We start from the raw sequence: 21035 nt of genomic DNA, 5'->3' as shown, positions 1-21035 counted from the left end.
TTTCTCCAGCATCAATGCAATATAAGATTACATGTTATAATTAATAAATGTGAAATAATGTTTAATGTAAACATTATATATGTGAACAATACTGTGAATACAATGTGATGCTTATCAAAATCAGCTAAAATAAATGTTTTTAAGATTACATATTATGTGACTTGATCAGAAGAAGGAGGAAGGAAGTTTAGCATATTTTATCAATTCTAAGATGTCATCAATTGATTACGAGATACATCATTATTTTATTTACCATTAAGAACAAAAGAAAAGGGGGGAGGAGCCAAGACGGCCGAATAGGAACAGCTCCGGTCTACAGCTCCCAGCGTGAGCCACGCAGAAGACGGATGATTTCTGCATTTCCATCTGAGGTACCGGGTTCATCTCACTAGGGAGTGTCAGACAGTGGGTGCAGGCCAGTGGGTGCGCGCACGGTGCGCGAGCCAAAGCAGGGCGAGGCATTGCCTCACCTGGGAAGCTCAAGGGGTCAGGGAGTTCCCTTTCCGAGTCAAAGAAAGGGGTAACGGACGCACCTGGAAAATCAGTTCACTCCCACCCGAATATTGCGCTTTTCAGACCGGCTTAAAAAACGGCGCACCACGAGACTATATCCCACACCTGGCTCGGAGTGTCCTACGCCCACAGAGTCTCCCTGATTGCTAGCACAGCAGTCTGAGATCGAACTGCAAGGCGGCAGCGAGGCTGTGGGAGGGGCGCCCGCCATTGCCCAGGCTTGCTTAGGTAAACAAAGCAGCTCGAACTGGGTGGAGCCCACCACAGCTCAAGGAGGCCTGCCTGCCACTGTAGGCTCCACCTCTGGGGGCAGGGCACAGACAAACAAAAAGACAGCAGTAACCTCTGCGACTTAAATGTCCCTGTCTGACAGCTTTGAAGGGAGCAGTGGTTCTCCCAGCACCCAGCTGGAGATCTGAGAACCGTCAGACTGCCTCCTCAAGTGGGTCCCTGACCCCTGACCCCTGAGCAGCCTAACTGGGAGGCACCCCCAGGAGGGGCACACTGACACCTCACACGGCAGGGTATTCCAACAGACCTGCAGCTGAGGGTCCTGTCTGTTAGAAGGAAAACTAACAAACAGAAAGGACATCCACACCGAAAACCCATCTGTACATCACCATCATCAAAGACCAAAAGTAGATAAAACCACAAAGATGGGGAAAAAACAGAACAGAAAAACTGGAAACTCTAAAACGCAGAGCGCCTCTTCTCCTCCAAAGGAACGCAGTTCCTCACCAGCAACGGAACAAAGCTGGATGGAGAATGACTTTGAAGAGCTGAGAGAAGAAGGCTTCAGACGATCAAATTACTCTGAGCTACGGGAGGACATTCAAACCAAAGGCAAAGAAGTTGAAAACTTTGAAAAAAATTTAGATGAATGTATAACTAGAATAACCAATACAGAGAAGTGCTTAAAGGAGCTGATGGAGCTGAAAACCAAGGCTCGAGAACTACGTGAAGAATGCAGAAGCCTCAGGAGCCGATGCGATCAACTGGAAGAAAGGGTATCAGCAATGGAAGATGAAATGAATGAAATGAAGCGAGAAGGGAAGGTTAGAGCAAAAACAATAAAAAGAAATGAGCAAAGCCTCCAAGAAAAATGGGACTATGTGAAAAGACCAAATCTACGTCTGATTGGTGTAACTGAAAGTGATGGGGAGAATGGAACCAAGTTGGAAAACACTCTGCAGGATATTATCCAGGAGAACTTCCCCAATCTAGCAAGGCAGGCCAACATTCAGATTCAGGAAATACAGAGAACACCACAAAGATACTCCTCGAGAAGAGCAACTCCAAGACACATAATTGTCAGATTCACCAAAGTTGAAATGAAGGAAAAAATGTTAAGGGCAGCTAGAGAGAAAGGTCGGGTTACCCTCAAAGGGAAGCCCATCAGACTAACAGCGGATCTCTCGGCAGAAACTCTACAAGCCAGAAGAGAGTGGGGGCCAATATTCAACATTCTTAAAGAAAAGAATTTTCAACCCAGAATTTCATATCCAGCCAAACTAAGCTTCATAAGTGAACGAGAAATAAAATACTTCACAGACAAGCAAATGCTGAGAGATTTTGTCACCACCAGGCCTGCCCTAAAAGAGCTCCTGAAGAAAGCGCTAAACATGGAAAGGAACAACCGGTACCGGCCACTGCAAAATCATGCCAAAATGTAAAGACCATCGAGACTAGGAAGAAACTGCATCAACTAACGAGCAAAATCACCAGCTAACATCACAATGACAGGATCAAATTCACACATAACAATATTAACTTTAAATGTAAATGGACTAAATGCTCCAATTAAAAGACACAGACTGGCAAATTGGATAAAGAGTCAAGACCCATCAGTGTGCTGTATTCAGGAAACCCATCTCACGTGCAGAGACACACATAGGCTCAAAATAAAAGGATGGAGGAAGATCTACCAAGCAAATGGAAAACAAAAAAAGGCAGGGGTTGCAATCCTAGTCTGATAAAACAGACTTTAAACCACCAAAGATCAAAAGAGACAAAGAAGGCCATTACATAATGGTAAGGGATCAATTCAACAAGAAGAGCTAACTATACTAAATATATATGCACCCAATACAGGAGCACCCAGATTCATAAAGCAAGTCCTGAGTGACCTACAAAGAGACTTAGACTCCCACACATTAATAATGGGAGACTTTAACACCCTACTGTCAACATTAGACAGATCAACGAGACAGAAAGTCAACAAGGATACCCAGGAATTGAACTCAGCTCTGCACCAAGTGGACCTAATAGACATCTACAGAACTCTCCACCCCAAATCAACAGAATATACATTTTTTTTCAGCACCACACCACACCTATTCCAAAATTGACCACATACTTGGAAGTAAAGCTCTCCTCAGCAAATGTAAAAGATCAGAAATTATAACAAACTGTCTCTCAGACCACAGTGCAATCAAACTAGAACTCAGGATTAAGAATCTCACTCAAAGCCGCTCAACTACATGGAAACTGAACAACCTGCTCCTGAATGACTACTGGGTACATAACGAAATGAAGGCAGAAATAAAGATGTTCTTTGAAACCAATGAGAACAAAGACACAACATACCAGAATCTCTGGGATGCATTCAAAGCAGTGTGTAGAGGGAAATTTATAGCACTAAATGCCCACAAGAGAAAGCAGGAAAGATCCAAAATTGACACCCTAACATCACAATTAAAAGAACTAGAGAAGCAAGAGCAAACACATTCAAAAGCTAGCAGAAGGCAAGAAATAACTAAAATCAGAGCAGAACTGAAGGAAACAGAGACACAAAAAACCCTTCAAAAAATCAATGAATCCAGGAGCTGGTTTTTTGAAAGGATCAACAAAATTGATAGACCGCTAGCAAGACTAATAAAGAAAAAAAGAGAGAAGAATCAAATAGACACAATAAAAAATGATAAAGGGGATATCACCACTGATCCCACAGAAATACAAACTACCATCAGAGAATACTACAAACACCTCTACGCAAATAAACTAGAAAATCTAGAAGAAATGGATAAATTCCTCGACACATACACTCTCCCAAGACTAAACCAGGAAGAAGTTGAATCTCTGAATAGACCAATAACAGGATCTGAAATTGTGGCAATAATCAATAGTTTACCAACCAAAAAGAGTCCAGGACCAGATGGATTCACAGCAGAATTCTACCAGAAGTACAAGGAAGAACTGGTACCATTCCTTCTGAAACTATTCCAATCAATAGAAAAAGAAGGAATCCTCTCTAACTCATTTTATGAGGCCAGCATCATTCTGATACCAAAGCTGGGCAGAGACACAACCAAAAAAGAGAATTTTAGACCAATATCGTTGATGAACATTGATGCAAAAATCCTCAATAAAATACTGGCAAACTGAATCCAGCAGCACATCAAAAAGCTTATCCACCATGATCAAGTGGGCTTCATCCCTGGGATGCAAGGCTGGTTCAATATACGCAAATCAATAAATGTAATCCAGCATATAAACAGAGCCAAAGACAAAAACCACATAATTATCTCAATAGATGCAGAAAAAGCCTTTGACAAAATTCAACAACCCTTCATGTTAAAAACTCTCAATAAATTAGGTATTGATGGGACGTATTTCAAAATAATAAGAGCTATCTATAACAAACCCACAGCCAATATCATACTGAATGGGCAAAAACTGGAAGCATTCCCTTTGAAAACTGGCACAAGACAGGGATGCCCCCTCTCACCACTCCTATTCAACATAGTGTTGGAAGTTCTGGCCAGGGCAATTAGGCAGGAGAAGGAAATAAAGTGTATTCAATTAGGAAAAGAGGAAGTCAAATTGTCCCTGTTTGCAGATGACATGATTGTATATCTAGAAAACCCCATTGTCTCAGCCCAAAATCTCCTTAAGCTGATAAGCAACTTCAGCAAACTCTCAGGATACAAAATCAATGTGCAAAAATCACAAGCATTCTTATACACAAATAACAGACAAACAGAGAGCCAAATCATCAGTGAACTCCCATTCACAATTGCTTCAAAGAGAATAAAATACCTAGGAATCCAACTTACAAGGGATGTGAAGGACCTCTTCAAGGAGAACTACAAACCACTGCTCAAGGAAATAAAAGAGGATACAAACAAGTGGAAGAATATTCCATGCTCATGGGTAGGAAGAATCAATATCGTGAAAATGGCCATACTGCCCAAGGTAATTTACAGATTCAATGCCATCCCCATCAAGCTACCAATGACTTTCTTCACAGAATTGGAAAAAAATTACTTTAAAGTTCATATGGAACCAAAAAAGAGCCCACATTGCCAAGTCAATCCTAAGCCAAAAGAACAAAGCTGGAGGCATCACACTACCTGACTTCAAACTATACTACAAGGCTACAGTAACCAAAACAGCATGGTACTGGTACCAAAACAGAGATATAGATCAATGGAACAGAACACAGCCCTCAGAAATAACGCCGCATACCTACAACTATCTGATCTTTGACAAACCTGAGAAAAACAAGCAATGGGGAAAGGATTCCCTATTTAATAAATGGTGCTGGGAAAACTGGCTAGCCATATGTAGAAAGCTGAAACTGGATCCCTTCCTTACACCTTATACAAAAATCAATTCAAGATGGATTAAAGATTTAAACGTTAGACCTAAAACCATAAAAACCCTAGAAGAAAACCTAGGCATTACCATTCAGGACATAGGCATGGGCAAGGACTTCATGTCCAAAACACCAAAAGCAATGGCAACAAAAGCCAAAATTGACAAATGGGATCTAATTAAACTAAAGAGCTTCTGCACAGCAAAGGAAACTACCATCAGAGTGAGCAGGCAACCTACAAAATGGGAGAAAATTTTTGCAACCTACTCATCTGACAAAGGGCTAATATCTAGAATCTACAATGAACTCAAACAAATTTACAAGAAAAAAAAAAACCCATCAAAAAGTGGGCGAAGGACATGAACAGACACTTCTCAAAAGAAGACGTTTATGCAGCCAAAAAACACGTGAAAAAATGCTCATCATCACTGGCCATCAGAGAAATGCCAATCAAAACCACTATGAGATACCATCTCACACCAGTTAGAATGGCAATCATTAAAAAGTCAGGAAACAATAGGTGCTGGAGAGGATGTGGAGAAATAGGAACACTTTTACACTGTTGGTGGGACTGTAAACTAGTTCAACCATTGTGGATGTCAGTGTGGCGATTCCTCAGGGATCTAGAACTAGAAATACCATTTGACCCAGCCATCCCATTACTGGGTATATACCCAAATGACTATAAATCATGCTGCTATAAAGACACATGCACACGTATGTTTATTGCGGCACTATTCACAATAGCAAAGACTTGGAACCAACCCAAATGTCCAACAATGATAGACTGGATTAAGAAAATGTGGCACATATACACCATGGAATACTATGCAGCCATAAAAATGATGAGTTCATGTCCTTTGTAGGGACATGGATGAAATTGGAAATCATCATTCTCAGTAAACTATCGCAAGAACAAAAAACCAAACACCGCATATTCTCACTCATAGGTGGGAATTGAACAATGAGATCACATGGACACAGGAAGGGGAATATCATACTCTGGGGACTGTGGTGGGGTGGGGGGAGGGGGGAGGGATAGCATTGGGAGATATACCTAATGCTAGATGACGAGTTAGTGGGTGCAGTGCACCAGCATGGCACATGTATACATATGTAACTAACCTGTACAATGTGCACATGTACCCTAAAACTTAAAGTATAATAAAAAAAAAAATTGAAAAAAAAAAAAGAACAAAAGAAAAATCTGTGTCAATCAACCATGACTCCTATTATTTATAAATTGCATCCCAAGTTCAGATAAGTTACAATGTGAAAAAAAAATTTTTAAAACTGCATCTCAGAATTGATTAAATGTGACGTGTTATCCTGATTAGTAGTAACCATGCCCCATCAGAGTGGTGATCAGGTATCTGTTTTGTTTTGTCCAAAGTAGAACAAAAAAGCAAACTCAGCCATCATCAAATTATGTTCATCATCTGGTCATTATATTTTTCTATATTGATGGGTGAGCTCCCATGTGTTTTAATTAATTTCCAAGAGATCTATCATTTTACCTTTGAAGTAAAATAAAAATGTTTCTAGATCATAAACTTATCCATAACACTGAAGGTGCATTTTGTTTCAGGATGATTCACATGAATTTTTCTTTCCTGGGAGGCTATAAAGAACAGTGGTCTAGAGTGTAGACCTTATAACCTGACCGACAAATCTTGGTTCTTCCTTTCTAGCTGCAATTTAACTAATCTCTCTTTGCCTTGGTTTCTGCAGCTGGAAGATGGAGATTACAATAGTGCTACTCATGGTACATGATGATGCAATGAGTTTACATGGGTAATGTGCTTAGAAAGTGTCTGATACATATAGTATGTGCCAATAAATGCCAGCTATTTTTTTAGTGTTACTATTGATTCTCAGAGAGGTTGAAGAACTTCAAGGAAATTTTTTTTCTTTTCTGATGTTGCTACTGTAACCTCCAAGTATACAGACTAATGAAGAAAAACTGGCTTCCTCCAATAGAACAATTCCTGTTGCAGGTATCTGCTATTGTGCTATTCCCCGCTAGGAATTCAGAAGATGAATTCATTTGAAGCCATTACTATGATAATAGCATATTATTATTATTGCCTCCCTCTTAGCCTCTGAATTCTCAGTATTTTTGTAGCATTTTTCCAGTGTTGGCTGAGCTGCTTTCATTAGAAGAACAGTTATATTAACTATCTACAGCATTATTTTTGCTGCTTACCCTCAAGAGTGACACTTGAGGCAAGAGACAGGCTATTGGACTAATGGTGTGGTGCAGCCCAAGTCAGTGAAAAGAGTGTGATCTTTGTAATCAGACCACCCATTGGAATCCTTATTCTATGCATGCACTAGCTTTCTGACCCTGGGGAAAGTATTTCAGTTCTCTGAATCCTAATTTGGGGGGTAATTTTTTTGATTGGTATAATTTTGAACTTACAGGAAAGTTGCAAGAGGGATACAAAGAAATCTCATGTTCTTCACCTTCATTTATTGTTAACACTTTCACATCTGCTTTATATTCTGTGTGTGTGTATATATATATATGTGTGTGTGTGTATACTTATAGATTTTTTTTCTGAATCATTTGAGAGTAGATAAGAATATTCTGTTATATAACCAGAGTACATTTATCAAATTTAGGAAATTTAGCATCGATATAATTCTATTACCAAGGCCATATTCGAAATTCACCAGTTGTCTTAATAGTGTCCTTTATTGCCTTTTTCCCAGTCCTAAATCTAATCACAAGGTTCACACGTTTTATTTAGTTGTCAAGACTCTTCCATCTTCTTGAATTCGATTTTCATTAACTTTTTTGAACTTGACATTTTTGAAGAGTACCGGCCAATTATTTTGTAAAATGTTCCTCAGTTTGAGTTTGTCTGAGGTTTCCTTAAAATTATACTCAGGTTAGGCATTTTGGGCAGGAATAGTACCTAGTGATATGTACTCAGGACATCACATCAGGGGGCATGAGAATTTAATTTGTTTCAGAATTGTTGATGTTAACTTTGATCATTGATTAAGCTTTTTACATCTTACACTTACTATTCTCACCTTTGTAATTAATAAGTAATATGTGCCAATATACTTTTTGGAATATGTGGAGCTATCCTGATTCTCATCAAATATCCACCAACCAGGTTTAGAATCCATTGATAATTCTTGCTGGATCAATTATAACTACGGTAGAAACAAAATGGTAGTTTTTTCCAAAATGATGATTTTTCTTTAAACAACTCTATTATTACACCTACATTTATTAGTTGTATTCTATTGTAAGAAAGCTTTCTCTTGTCCCCATTTAGATATTTAATATTAGTATGAACTTAGTATTCTTATTTTATTCAATTAGTTATATTATTATTATTATTAACTTTAATATCCCTTAACCTGGAATCAATTTTCAGTGTCGTAATTTCCAAAGGAAACTTCTTTATCTTTTTGAGACAGGGTCTCACTCTGTCACCTATGCTGCAGGGCAGTGGTGTGATCATGGCTCACTTCCACCTCAAATTCCTGGGCTCAAGTGATCCTTCCACCTTGGCCTCCCAAGTGCTGGGATTACAGGCAGGAGCCACTGTGCCTGCCGAAAGGAAATTTCTTAACTAACCCAGTTTAAGACAGAAGAAATATCATCCCACTATACATCACAAACAGGACTGTGCTCATAGGACAAGTGCCCTATCTAAGCTAAATGATTACTGAACGCCAAGTGAGAGAAACAGATTTTTTTTGGTTTTTTTTTGACACAGACTCTCGCTCTGTCACCCAGGCTGGAGTGCAGTGGCGCGATCTTGGCTCACTGTAAGCTCCGCCTCCCGGGTTCACGCCATTCTCCTGACTCAGCCTCCCCAGTAGCTGGGACTACAGGCGCCCGCCACCACGCACGGCTAATGTTTTGTATTTTTAGTAGAGACGGGGTTTCACCGTGTTAGACAGGATAGTCTGGATCGCCTACCTCGTGATCTGCCCACCCCGGCCTCCTGAAGTGCTGGGATTAGAGGCGTGAGCCACCGCGCCCGGCCGAGAAACAGTATTTTCAAAGCTGTTCTGGGTGTTGCGGGTGATGTGTTTTTTAAAAATTAAGGTATAATTTAGATACAGTAAAATTCACCCTTTTTAATGTACGCTTCTGAGACTTCTGACAAATGTATTGAGTGGTTAATTACCTAAAAAATTACCTAATCCACCTTTATAGTCACACCTCCTACCCTTGCCAACTCAAACCCTGGCAACTGGTGTTTTCCATCCTTAAGGCTTTGCTTCTTCCAGAATTTCATGTAAATTGAGTCATAAAGAAGGTAGCCTTTTGTGTCTGGCTTCTATCACTTGGCAGAATGCACTTGAGATTTCATCCGTGTTTGCTGAGTAGTATTCTACTGTGTGGATGCATCACGGTTTCTTTATCTTCATTGTGGGCCCTGCTTCTGATTACTCGATCCTTCGTTCCTCCCTTCAGTCTTCCTCAATCCTTTCTTCTTTTTTCTTCCTACTCATCTCTATCTCTACCCTCAAGGAGATGAAGTACTCTTCTCTTTGGTTAGATTTGAGGATTCTTATTTGACCCTCTTTTGTGGTTGGAGCCTTGTGGATAGATATAAACTTACACTAAGCCATTTATTTCTCTCAAAATACAATGCGAAAGTTGAAAGAGAAGGCTTTGTCTGTTAGTATCCCAGCTCTGCCACTTACTAGCTGTGTGATATCAATCAAGTTACCTAATATCTCTGTGTCTGTAAGTCCTTATAGGTGAAATGCGGAAGAAAACAGTACCTACAGCCTTGGGCTGTGAGCATTAAATAAGTTCATTCATAATTGTAAATGGCTTACAGCAATGCCTGGCATATTGTAAACTCTTAATAAGTGTTGATTACTTAGAGCCATTTTGACACATGGGAAGGCTTTTGAGTAAAAATATAGTATATATAAAACTTACTTGGAGTTTGGTCTCGCTGTAGGAGAGTGGTCCTATAGTCTTGGGAAGGTGGGTTTGGGCTGAGGGGACAGGAGGTAGAAGCTCTGTACATCAATAAGCTATGTGGTCACCCTATAGGTGGTAGTGGGAAGTTTCCATATTTTTTAACCTCATTTTGCTAGTGGAAAGCTGCCTAATACATCCTGATGCACTTTCCCCATTGTCCCTGCTCTGAGATAATTGGATTGACCTAGCCGGTATAAAAGCTGTGTCTGGGTGAATTACGAGTTTGGCATTTATCTGACTTACACAGCCCTTTTAGCAATAGAAGCACAGGCTTGCTGGAAAATATTGCTGCCTCAATCCTTGTGTGGGCTCTCAGGTCATGTCACTCCTGTGGACACCTTGCCACTACCCTCAACAACATTATTCTGTGCACATCTTTAATCTTTGCTAGATTGCTCCTGGAAAAGGACAAAAAGAATTATGGGCAAAAAAAAAAAAGATCTTCTTTTTCTTTTTTTCTCACCTCTTTCAGGCTGAAATATAAAGTAAGTTCTTCCAGCCTAACTCATAGTTCCCGTGCCTCAATAAGTTTTATACGTTTCACCTACTGTGCCCACTCTACTGGAAAATAATTCCTTATTTCATACTATTCTATAAACCTAGTATTTACTTCATTTATAGAATCTTCCTTTGAGATTTTAGAGACCCATTTTTCTAGATGTGGATCTGTATTTCTTGGGCTTCTATTTTTATAAGCAGTCTAAGCTTCTGCAAACCCTGCGGTAATTATAAAATAGTATCAGAATAAATTATCACTGTGTTTATAAGCTTCTGATATAAAAAACCTCTTCAGTTTCAGCCTTTTGTAAATGATAAAGCATTTTTATACAAGTTACATGAGTATAACTTATATTTTAAACATTCAGATAAACAACAGGAAAAAATTAAAGTGACCCAAAGTGCCACCATCTGATGATAACCCCTTTTATCATTGTTTTTTTCCATAATTACCTATATGTCTATCTATGTGTAAAGCAAGAGTGTCTTACCTTAACTTCTTATGCCAATAAATATGTTTCTACATTTTATTTTCTTTTATTATTATTATTATTATTATTATTATTATTATTATTATTTTGAGTTGGAGTTTCACTCTTGTTGCCTAGGCTGGAGTGCAATGGCTCAATCTCGGCTCACCGCAACCTCTGCCTCCTGGGTTCAAGCGATTCTTCTGCCTCAGCCTCCCGAGTAGCTGGGATTATAGGCATGTGCCACCATGCCCGGCTAATTTTGTATTTTCAGTAGAGATGGTGTTTCTCCATGTTGGCCAGGCTGGTCTCGAACTGAACTCCCGACCTCAAGTTATCTGCCCTCCTCAGCCTCCCAAAGTGCTGGGATTACAGGTGTGAACCACCGCGCCGGGCCTGTTTCTACATTTTAATGGCCTCATGATTTTATGTCATCTTTATCATCTGCTAAATAACATAAAATCCATACATAAATGTGTGTATACTTGAATATGTTTATTGATTTTTTTCTATTCATTTATCTCTCTGTGTATTCCAATGCTACTCCCACGATACTTTAGTTTTTGTAACTTTGTTCTACTTTTTAATGTTTGATAGAGCAAGCACCTTCTCATTGCTCATTTTTAAAATTTCCAACTAAAGAATTATTATTTAAATCACAACTATCTAATCTTAGAAGATAGCTGTAATTTTAAATATTTCCCTCACTCTCTTACACAGATTGTGCAAGTGCACACACATGCACACACCTTAAGGCAGAGCTATTAAAGGAAAATGATGAAGTAAAGAGAGCTGGTTTTCAGCATTTTTACTCCTTTTTTTCATATGGGCTTCTCCTAATGCTGAGAGTCTCTGGAGATTCCCAGTGTTCTTGATCTCTCTACCAATTCCCCATCAGATAGATCTTCCCTTCAGTTAATAGTCCAGCTAGAAAGGAAAGGCAATCCCATGTCAGACTTCCCCCTTAGGGACATTTGCATTTTAATGTTCTTTGCTTCTTTAACCCAACGAAATGAAGCCTTGATTTTGGAATTTCAGTTTTCTAGACATGAACCACCAAGTGAGAAGTTTTTCATCCCACTTGGGTAGCCACATAGTTTACAAACTATGGACCTGGCTCTGACCCTGGAAATCTAGGCTTATATATATTTTGCTATGTGTCAGTTTTTAAGATTCAAAATATTTCCCTAGTATTAAAATTAATATTAAATGCTGTCTATTATACTCAATGATGCCTTCCTCACTTATAGAAGTTACTGCTTAAACAGTTGACAATGGTCCAGTCATGGGGAGCAAGTGAAGGAACTGAACAGGAGAGTGATGTGATAAAAGTTTTTGGGACTTTAACAGGATGTCAATGTGCAGGAGAACTTGCAAGAGGAAGTGGCTAACAGAGACAGGAGTCAGCTGGGTCAGAGGTTAGTAACCCTGGGGACATCTGAGTCATCTGTAGAATGTTTAATAAATACCTATGCCTTCCAGGCAGGGGCAATTAAACAATATCATCTGGAGGTAAACCTGGGGTATTTAAGTTTTATTTGTTTTAATGGTGATTTTTAAAATTATTTATTTATTGTGGTAAAATATATATAACATAAAATTTACCCTTTTAACCATTTTCAAGCACATTTACATTACCAGGAGATTCTATTTTGGGCTCCAAGTGTGCTCTAATTAAAGAGATGGCAAAAGGTATATGTACTGGGGAGGTAGAAAGCTTTCGAAACAATGCCACTTATCCTTACATGTAAATTAATCTATGGCATCAGTGGTTTTTAGCAAATTATCTGATAAACTTGTGAGGACACTTACTAAATGATAAAAAAAAATGAGCTATCAGGCTTAAAAAAAGTACTGAATTAAAGCTAATCACTTATGTAGGCAAAAGCAAAATTTTTGCATAAATGATTTGTTCACCTCAGGGCTTCTTTTGATTTATAAGTGCGTCCCAGCATAAGTAAGCAGGGCTTTTCATGCTTGGTAGCCAACATCATTTTACTGAGTTATAGCCCTACTTTCTGGCAAATGCTACGTTTTAGATCTCACACTGTGTGTCTCTGTGTGCGTGTGCGTGTGTGTGTGTTTCTCTGTGTGTGTAGTTCTCTAAATTATTCCTCAGATTATTAGCACCAAATATAAATCTTGAACTAAAATATCACTTAATGTTGCTACTACTGTTAAAAGTTAGTATGCAAATGCCTTGAAGCAAGTCGTCCCTCCACATATGTTAAATCTGCAAATGTAAAATTTTTCATTTTTTCCCTTTTCTTCCACTTAATTTCCCAGCAGTAGCAACTACCACCTCACAAAAACAGCAGCCAGTATTAATAATAATATTTTTTCCCTCAGGTTCTTTCAGTGGTCGTTAATTGTGCAGCATCAGAGGTTGCACAATAGAAACAAACTTCTATGCCCTGTTAAAATTACCATGTCTGAAATGTGGTAAGGAATAGCTCATTTTGATCTTTGACTTCTAGAATAAAAATAAACATTCTTATAAAGCAAGTAGCCAATGGACCACTAAATTAAGGTCCAAGGAATCAATTTCAGGCAGCAGTTCATCAAAGTTAATGTGAAAAACATGTTATTTAAGATGTAGGAAGTTACAATAGCTAGGTTGATTCTATACAAATCAAGGTCAAAATTCTGAAAACAACTGCTTCTCTGAACTTGTAAAACATCTTGTGGGAAATAGAAAGAAGGTTTTAAAAAATCTGAACCGGGTACTTCCAAATTTTTTCCTAGGATAGAAGTAAGTTCGTTTGATTAAGATAAGAATCTTGATATTTTGATATCTTGTCATGAACGAGACTAGTGTGATCAAAAATCTAAAAACACTTTTTTTCTTGAAGACCTCTGAACATATTCTCTCAAACAACTTAGACAGTTGGGCAAATCCAAAACACAATGTAAAGGATGTGTTTAATCATAGAATGAATAGGTTGAATTAATGGCAAAGAAGTAGATAGCTATCAGAACTCTCCTTTTTTGAGATGATTACAGTTGTATGTGCTTTTAGGGAAGTTAAAATAACTGTGAAAAACGGAATTTCTCAACATTAAAATTTACATGCCATAATCCTCACTTCCTCTGTAATGAAACATTGTGAAATGTCTCAGTGCTCTAGAGTATCTTGCAAAAGACAAATAACCTTAACTAAATGTGGCAGCTTAGGTCCCTGGAAGGCAAGTGTATTTGCCCTCTTGGGCTTTTAGAGTCTCACTGGGAAAATAGGTTAAGAATAAAATCACTCTCAATGACCAAAAATTTCTCCTCTTGTGTTCCCACTCCAAGAGACACTCATTCTGTAGTTGAGTAGAGTCCTTGTTGTTGAAAACTGTGAGAGAATTTCAAGTGGGTGAACTGCATCAACAAAGATAAGCTTTGGATAGAAATGCCAATGAAAAGAAGAGAAGTGGAAAATATACTAGAAAAGTATTGACTGGGGAAAAACAATGGAGAACCTTGAATATGATATTGAGGAAGGCTGGCCTTATCCAAATGATTCAATAGAGAATCATCGCAGTACCTATGGCAGAGGAATGATGAGATAATGCCTTTTTTTTTTTTTCTGAGACAGGGTTTTGCTGTGTCATCCAGGCTGGAATGCAGTGGCACAATCACAGATCACTGCAGCCTTGACCTCCTGGGCTTTAGTGATCCTCCCACCTCAGCCTCCCCAGTAGCTGGAACTATAGGCCTGTGCCACCACACCTGGCCGATAATGCCCTTTTAAGGAGGATAATATGGTATCTTGATGAAGATGGGTTGAAGGGGAATTGACTCCCAGCTGAGTGATCTGTCTGCTCTGAGACATTCTGGAAATGGGATGAATTTTATTGAGGAGCGACTTGACAATATAAACATGAAACACTGAGGTGGCAGACTGTAGAGAGGTCTTTAGCCCTCCTTATTCCTGGCCTGGGAGATTTGGGTGGAGGATGTTTCTTTAGTTCATAGTTATGCCACATTGGCATGTTCAGCAGGTTGTTTGGCTCCCAACCTTGGAAGGATCGAGCCATACAAAATGGTCTTCTCCTGCTGTTGGAGCCTGTGTGGAGAACAAGGCAGACCATTAAGTTCTTTCCTGGACTCTTCCATAACTAGATCTCTGAGTACCCAGATACTCACAAAGTAGACTGTGGAGGTATAACCCAGGCCTCTCAACCTCAATCACTCATCCGACTCAGTAAATCAAAGGCTCAGCATTATTATTCATGGGATAAAGTAAAATCTTTTGTTGAATAACAGTGAATATTATCAGCACCAAAAAAGCAGAGTCATCTTTGCCAGTATGAGATTTCCCTCACAAGAGACAGTGAACATTGAGAATTTGTTTTGAGGCAGAAGAATATTGAGAAAATAATTTCAGGTAAGGAATAACAAGTGAACAGATTAACCTAAAATGGTTGTTGACATTAAGACAGTACTCCATAGAAAAGAAGCCTATATAGACATGGAGCAGACTGCAGGTGCTTAACATACCAGTTGTGGACATGACAGGCAAATATGTGCTTTCAGAATGATCGATCACCACCAGATTTACCTCTGGGCTGATGCACTGTTGAGAGCTCATTAGCATTCCAGTTCTATTGTTGAGTTCTGGAGTTGGAGGGCCTCTGGTGGCTGTCAGCCTCATTAGGAAAAGAAGGAATAACTGCTATGTCATCTGAAGGGTTTTGTGCCTAGAATTTAAAATGTGACATCTCTAGGATTGCCCTCTTTTGTGGCAGTTAAAGAGTTTTGGAATAACTAAAATATGAGTGGATTCTATAATAGAGAAATGACAACACTGGTACTTCTTGACTTTATTTGTATATGTTATTGTGTTAGTAACACAAGAGGTTTTTTTGCTGAAAATAAAAGATGATCAGTGTACACTGCTCCAGAAAATATAATTCTATCATTCTCTCATTCACAACATAATATGCTGGGTAAGTGTTTAAAAACCTTTTAAGTAGATTTAATTTAGTTAATTACATTATCTGCCTACTTCTCATCCATTGCACACCCAGAGAGCCCTAAGAACTTAAAGAGCAAATAGCACAGCTTTTGGTGGGAGCAGCAAAGTGCATCCAAGCTTTTTCCTATTTGACTCTTACTATCTCCTTTTCCCTTTCAGAATAGAAGGTGGGACTGGAGGTGCATTCTGCTGAGAGGTGCTCAAGTGAGGAAAGCTGACAAGAACTAGGTGAGCCTGGACTAAAAAGAATCCTGTAGGGTGGAGCCAAGGTGGCCGAATAAGAACAGCTCCGGTCTACAGCTCCCAGGGTGAGCGACACAGAAGGCGGGAGATTTCTGCATTTCCATCTGAGGTACTGGGTTCATCTCACTAGGGAGTGCCAGACAGTGGGCACAGGACAGTGGGTGCAGCACACCATGCGTGAGCCAAAGCAGGGCAAGGCATTGCCTCACTCGGGAAGTGCAAGGGGTCAGGGAGTTCCCTTTCCTAGTCAAAGAAAGGGGTGACAGAGGGCACCTGGAAAATCGGGTCACTCCCACCCCAATACTGTGCTTTTCCTATGGGCTTAAAAAACAGCACACCAGGAGATTATATCCCGCACCTGGCTCGGAGGGTCCTACGCCCACGGAGTCTCGCTGATTGCTAGCACAGCACTCTGAGATCAAACTGCAAGGTGGCAGCAAGGCTGTGGGAGGGGCGCCCGCCATTGCCCAGGCTTGCTTAGGTAAACAAAGCAGCCAGGAAGCTCTAACTGGGTGGAGCCCACCACAGCTCAAGGAGACCTGCCTGTCTCTGTAGGCTCCACCTCTGGGGGCAGGGCACAGACAAACAAAAAGACAGCAGTAACCTCTGCAGACTTAAATGTCCCTGTCTGACAGCTTTGAAGAGAGCAGTGGTTCTCGCAGCACGCAGCTGGAGATCTGAGAACAGGCAGACTGCCTCCTCAAGTGGGTCCCTGACCTGTGACCCCCAAGCAGCCTAACTGGGAGGCACCCCCCAGTAGGGGCAGACTGACACCTCACACAGCCGGGTACTCCTCTGAGACAAAACTTCCAGAGGAACGATCAGACAGCAGCATTCACGGTTCACGAAAATCTGCTGTTCTGCAGCCACCGCTTCTGGTACCCAGGCAAACAGGGTCTGGAGTGGACCTCTAGCAAACTCCAACAGACCTGCAGCTGAGGGTCCTGTCTGTTAGAAGGAAAACTAACAAACAGAAAGGACATCCACACCAAAAACCCATCTGTACATCATCATCATCAAAGACCAAAAGCAGATAAAACCACAAAGATGGGGAAAAAACAGAGCACAGAAGCTGGAAACTCTAAAAAGCAGAGCACCTCTCCTCCTCCAAAGGAACGCAGCTCCTCACCAGCAATGGAACAAAGCTGGACGGAGAATGACCTTGACGAGTTGAGAGAGGAAGGCTTCAGACGATCAAATGACTCTGAGCTACAGGGGGAAATTCAAACCAAAGGCAAAGAAGTTGAAAACTTTGAAAAAAATTTAGACGAATGTATAACTAGAATAACCAATACAGAGAAGTGCTTAAAGGAGCTGATGGAGCTGAAAGCCAAGGCTCAAGAACTACGTGAAGAATGCAGAAGCCTCAGGAGCTGATGCGATCAACTGGAAGAAAGGGTATCAGTGATGGAAGATGAAATGAATGAAATGAAGCAAGAAGGGAAGTTTAGAGAAAAAAGAATAAAAAGAAACGAACAAAGCCTCGAAGAAATATGGGACTATGTGAAAAGACCAAATCTACATCTGATTGGTGTTCCTGAAAGCGACGGGGAGAATGGAACCAAGTTGGAAAACACTCTGCGGGATATTATCCAGGAGAACTTCCCCAATCTAGCAAGTCAGGCCAACATTCAGATTCAGGAAATATAGAGAATGCCACAAAGATACTCCTTGAGAAGAGCAACTCCAAGACACATAATTGTCAGATTCACCAAAGTTGAAATGAAGGAAAAAATGTTAAGGGCAGCTAGAGAGAAAGGTCGGGTTACCCACAAAGGGAAGCCCATCAGACTAACAGCGGATCTCTCGGCAGAAACTCTACAAGCCAGAAGAGAGTGGGGGCCAATATTCAACATTCTTAAAGAAAAGAATTTTCAACCCAGAATTTCATATCCAGCCAAACTAAGCTTCATAAGTGAACGAGAAATAAAATACTTTACAGACGAGCAAACGCTGAGAGACTTTGTCACCACCGGGCCTGCCCTAAAAGAGCTCCTGAAGGAAGCACTAAACATGGAAAGGAACAACCGGTATCAGCCACTGCAAAATCATGCCAAATTGTAAAGACCATCGAGGCTAGGAAGAAACTGCATCAACTGACGAGCAAAATCACCAGCTAACATCATAATGACAGGATCAAATTCACACATAACAATATTAACTTTAAATGTAAATGGACTAAATTCTCCAATTAAAAAACACAGACTGGCAAATTGGATAAAGAGTAAAGATCCATCAGTGTGCTGTATTCAGGAAACCCACCTCACGTGCAGAGACACATATAGGCTCAAAAATAAAAGGATGGAGGAAGATCTACCAAGCAAATGGAAAACAAAAAAAGGCAGGGGTTGCAATCCTAGTCTCTGATAAAACAGACTTAAACCAACAAAGATCAAAAGAGACAAAGAAGGCCATTACATAATGGTAAAGGGATCAATTCAACAAGAAGAGCTAACTATCCTAAATATATATGCACCCAATACAGGAGCACCTAGACTCATAAAGCAAGTCCTTAGTGACCTACAAAGAGACTTAGACTCCCACACAATAATAATGGGAGACTTTAACACCCCACTGTCAACATTACACAGATCGATGAGACAGAAAGTTAACAAGGATATCCAGGAATTGAACTCAGCTCTGCACCAAGTGGACCTAATAGACATTATAGAACTCTCCACCCCAAATCAACAGACTATACATTCCTTTCACCACCACACCACACCTATTCCAAAATTGACCACATAGTTGGAAGTAAAGCTCTCCTCAGCAAATGTAAAAGAACAGAAATTATAACAAACTATCTCTCAGACCACAGTGCAATCAAACTAGAACTCAGGATTAAGAAACTCACTCAAAACCGCTCAACTACATGGAAACTGAACAACCTGCTCCTGAATGACTGCTGGGTACATAATGAAATGAAGGCAGAGATAAAGATGTTCTTTGAAACCAATGAGAACAAAGACACAACATGCCAGAATCTCTGGGACACATTCAAAGCAGTGTGTAGAGGGAAATTTATAGCACTAAATGCCCACAAGAGAAAGCAAGAAAGATCCAAAATTGACACCCTAACATCACAATTAAAAGAACTAGAAAAGCAAGAGCAGAAGGCAAGAAATAACTAACATCAGAGCAGAACTGAAGGAAATAGAGACACAAAAAAACCCTTCAAAAAATTAATGAATCCAGGAGCTGTTTTTTGAAAGGATCAACAAAATTGATAGACTGCTAGCAAGACTAATAAAGAAGAGAAGAGAGAACAATCAAATAGATGCAATAAAAAATGATAAAGGGGCAATCACCACCGATCCCACAGAAATACAAACTATCATCAGAGAATACTACAAACACCTCTATGCAAATAAACTAGAAAATCTAGAAGAAATGGATAAATTCTTCAACACATACACCCGCCCAAGACTAAACCAGGAAGAAGTTGGCTCTCTGAATAGACCAATAAGAGGCTCTAATATTGTGGCAGTAATCAATAGCTTACCAACCAAAAAGAGTCCAGGACCAGATGGATTCACAGCAGAATTCTACCAGAGGTACAAGGAGGAACTGGTACCATTCCTTCTGAAACTATTCCAATCAATAGAAAAAGAGGGAATCCTCCCTAACTCATTTTATGAGGCCAGCATCATCCTGATACCAAAGCCGGGCAGAGACACAACCAAAAAAGACAATTTTAGACCAATATCCTTGATGAACATTGATGCAAAAATCCTCAATAAAATACTGGCAAACCGAACCCAGCAGCACATCAAAAAGCTTATCCACCATGATCAAATGGGCTTCATCCCTGGGATGTGAGACTGGTTCCATATACGCAAATCAATAAATGTAATCCAGCATATAAACAGAACCAAAGACAAAAACCACATGATTATCTCAATAGATGCAGAAAAGGCCTTTGACAAAATTCAACAACCCTTCATGCTAAAAACTCTCAATAAATTAGGTATTGATGGGACGTATCTCAAAATAATAAGAGCTATCTATGACAAACCCACAGCCAATATCATACTAAATGGGCAAAAACTGGAGGCATTCCCTTTGAAAACTGGCACAAGACAGGGATGCCCTCTCTCACCACTCCTATTCAACATAGTGTTGTAAGTTCTGGCCAGGGCAATCATGCAGGAGAAGGAAATAAAAGGTATTCAATTAGGAAAAGAGGAAGTCAAATTGTCCCTGTATGCAGATGACATGATTGTATATCTAGAAAACCCCATCATCTCAGCCCAAAATCTCCTTAAGCTGATAAGCAACTGCAGCAAAGTCTCAGGATTCAAAATCAATGTGCAAAAATCACAAGCAATCTTATACACCAATAACAGACAAACAGAGAGCCAAATCATGAGTGAACTCCCATTCACAATTGCTTCAAAGAGAATAAAATACCTAGGAATCCAACCTACAAGGGACGTGAACTACCTCTTCAAGGAGAACTACAAACCACTGCTCAATGAAACAAAAGAGGATACAAACAAATGGAAGAACATTCCATGCTCATGGGTAGGAAGAATCAAAAAAATGAAAATGGCCATACCGCCCAAGGTAATTTATAGATTAAATGCCATCCCCATCAAGCTACCAATGACTTTCTTCACAGAATTGGAAAAAATTACTTTAAAGTTCATATGGAACCAAAACAGAGCCCGCATCTCCAAGTCAATCCCGAGCCAAAAGAACAAAGCTGGAGGCATCATGCTACCTGACTTCAAACTATACTACAAGGCTACAGTAACCAAAACAGCATGGTACTGGTACCAA

The 21035-nt window shown here is 39.9% G+C and overlaps 1 long non-coding RNA gene across 1 annotated transcript, besides 1 other annotated feature; it reads left to right on the top strand.

The window, feature by feature from the left end:
- Positions 1-313: 313 nt before the first annotated feature.
- Positions 314-16990, top strand: LINC02108 (long intergenic non-protein coding RNA 2108). Its single transcript, NR_109904.1, has 4 exons — positions 314-371; positions 11186-11422; positions 12398-12465; positions 16170-16990. It is a non-coding gene; the product is annotated as a long intergenic non-protein coding RNA 2108 (long non-coding RNA).
- Positions 14085-15284: an enhancer, noted in NCBI's record as "MED14-independent group 3 enhancer chr5:57839100-57840299 (GRCh37/hg19 assembly coordinates)". NCBI's record gives its function as "activates an origin of replication core promoter dependent on BRD2, BRD4, P300/CBP and CDK7 cofactors, and independent of MED14, by STARR-seq in HCT116 cells {active_cell/tissue: HCT116}" and the evidence as "EXISTENCE:reporter gene assay evidence [ECO:0000049][PMID:35650434]".
- Positions 16991-21035: the final 4045 nt, after the last annotated feature.

Source organism: Homo sapiens, chromosome 5 (assembly GCF_000001405.40).
Source record: "Homo sapiens chromosome 5, GRCh38.p14 Primary Assembly".
Classification (NCBI taxonomy): Eukaryota; Metazoa; Chordata; class Mammalia; order Primates; family Hominidae; genus Homo; species Homo sapiens.
Note: the sequence above shows the minus strand (reverse complement) of the source record. Positions and strands in the feature narration are given on the sequence as shown.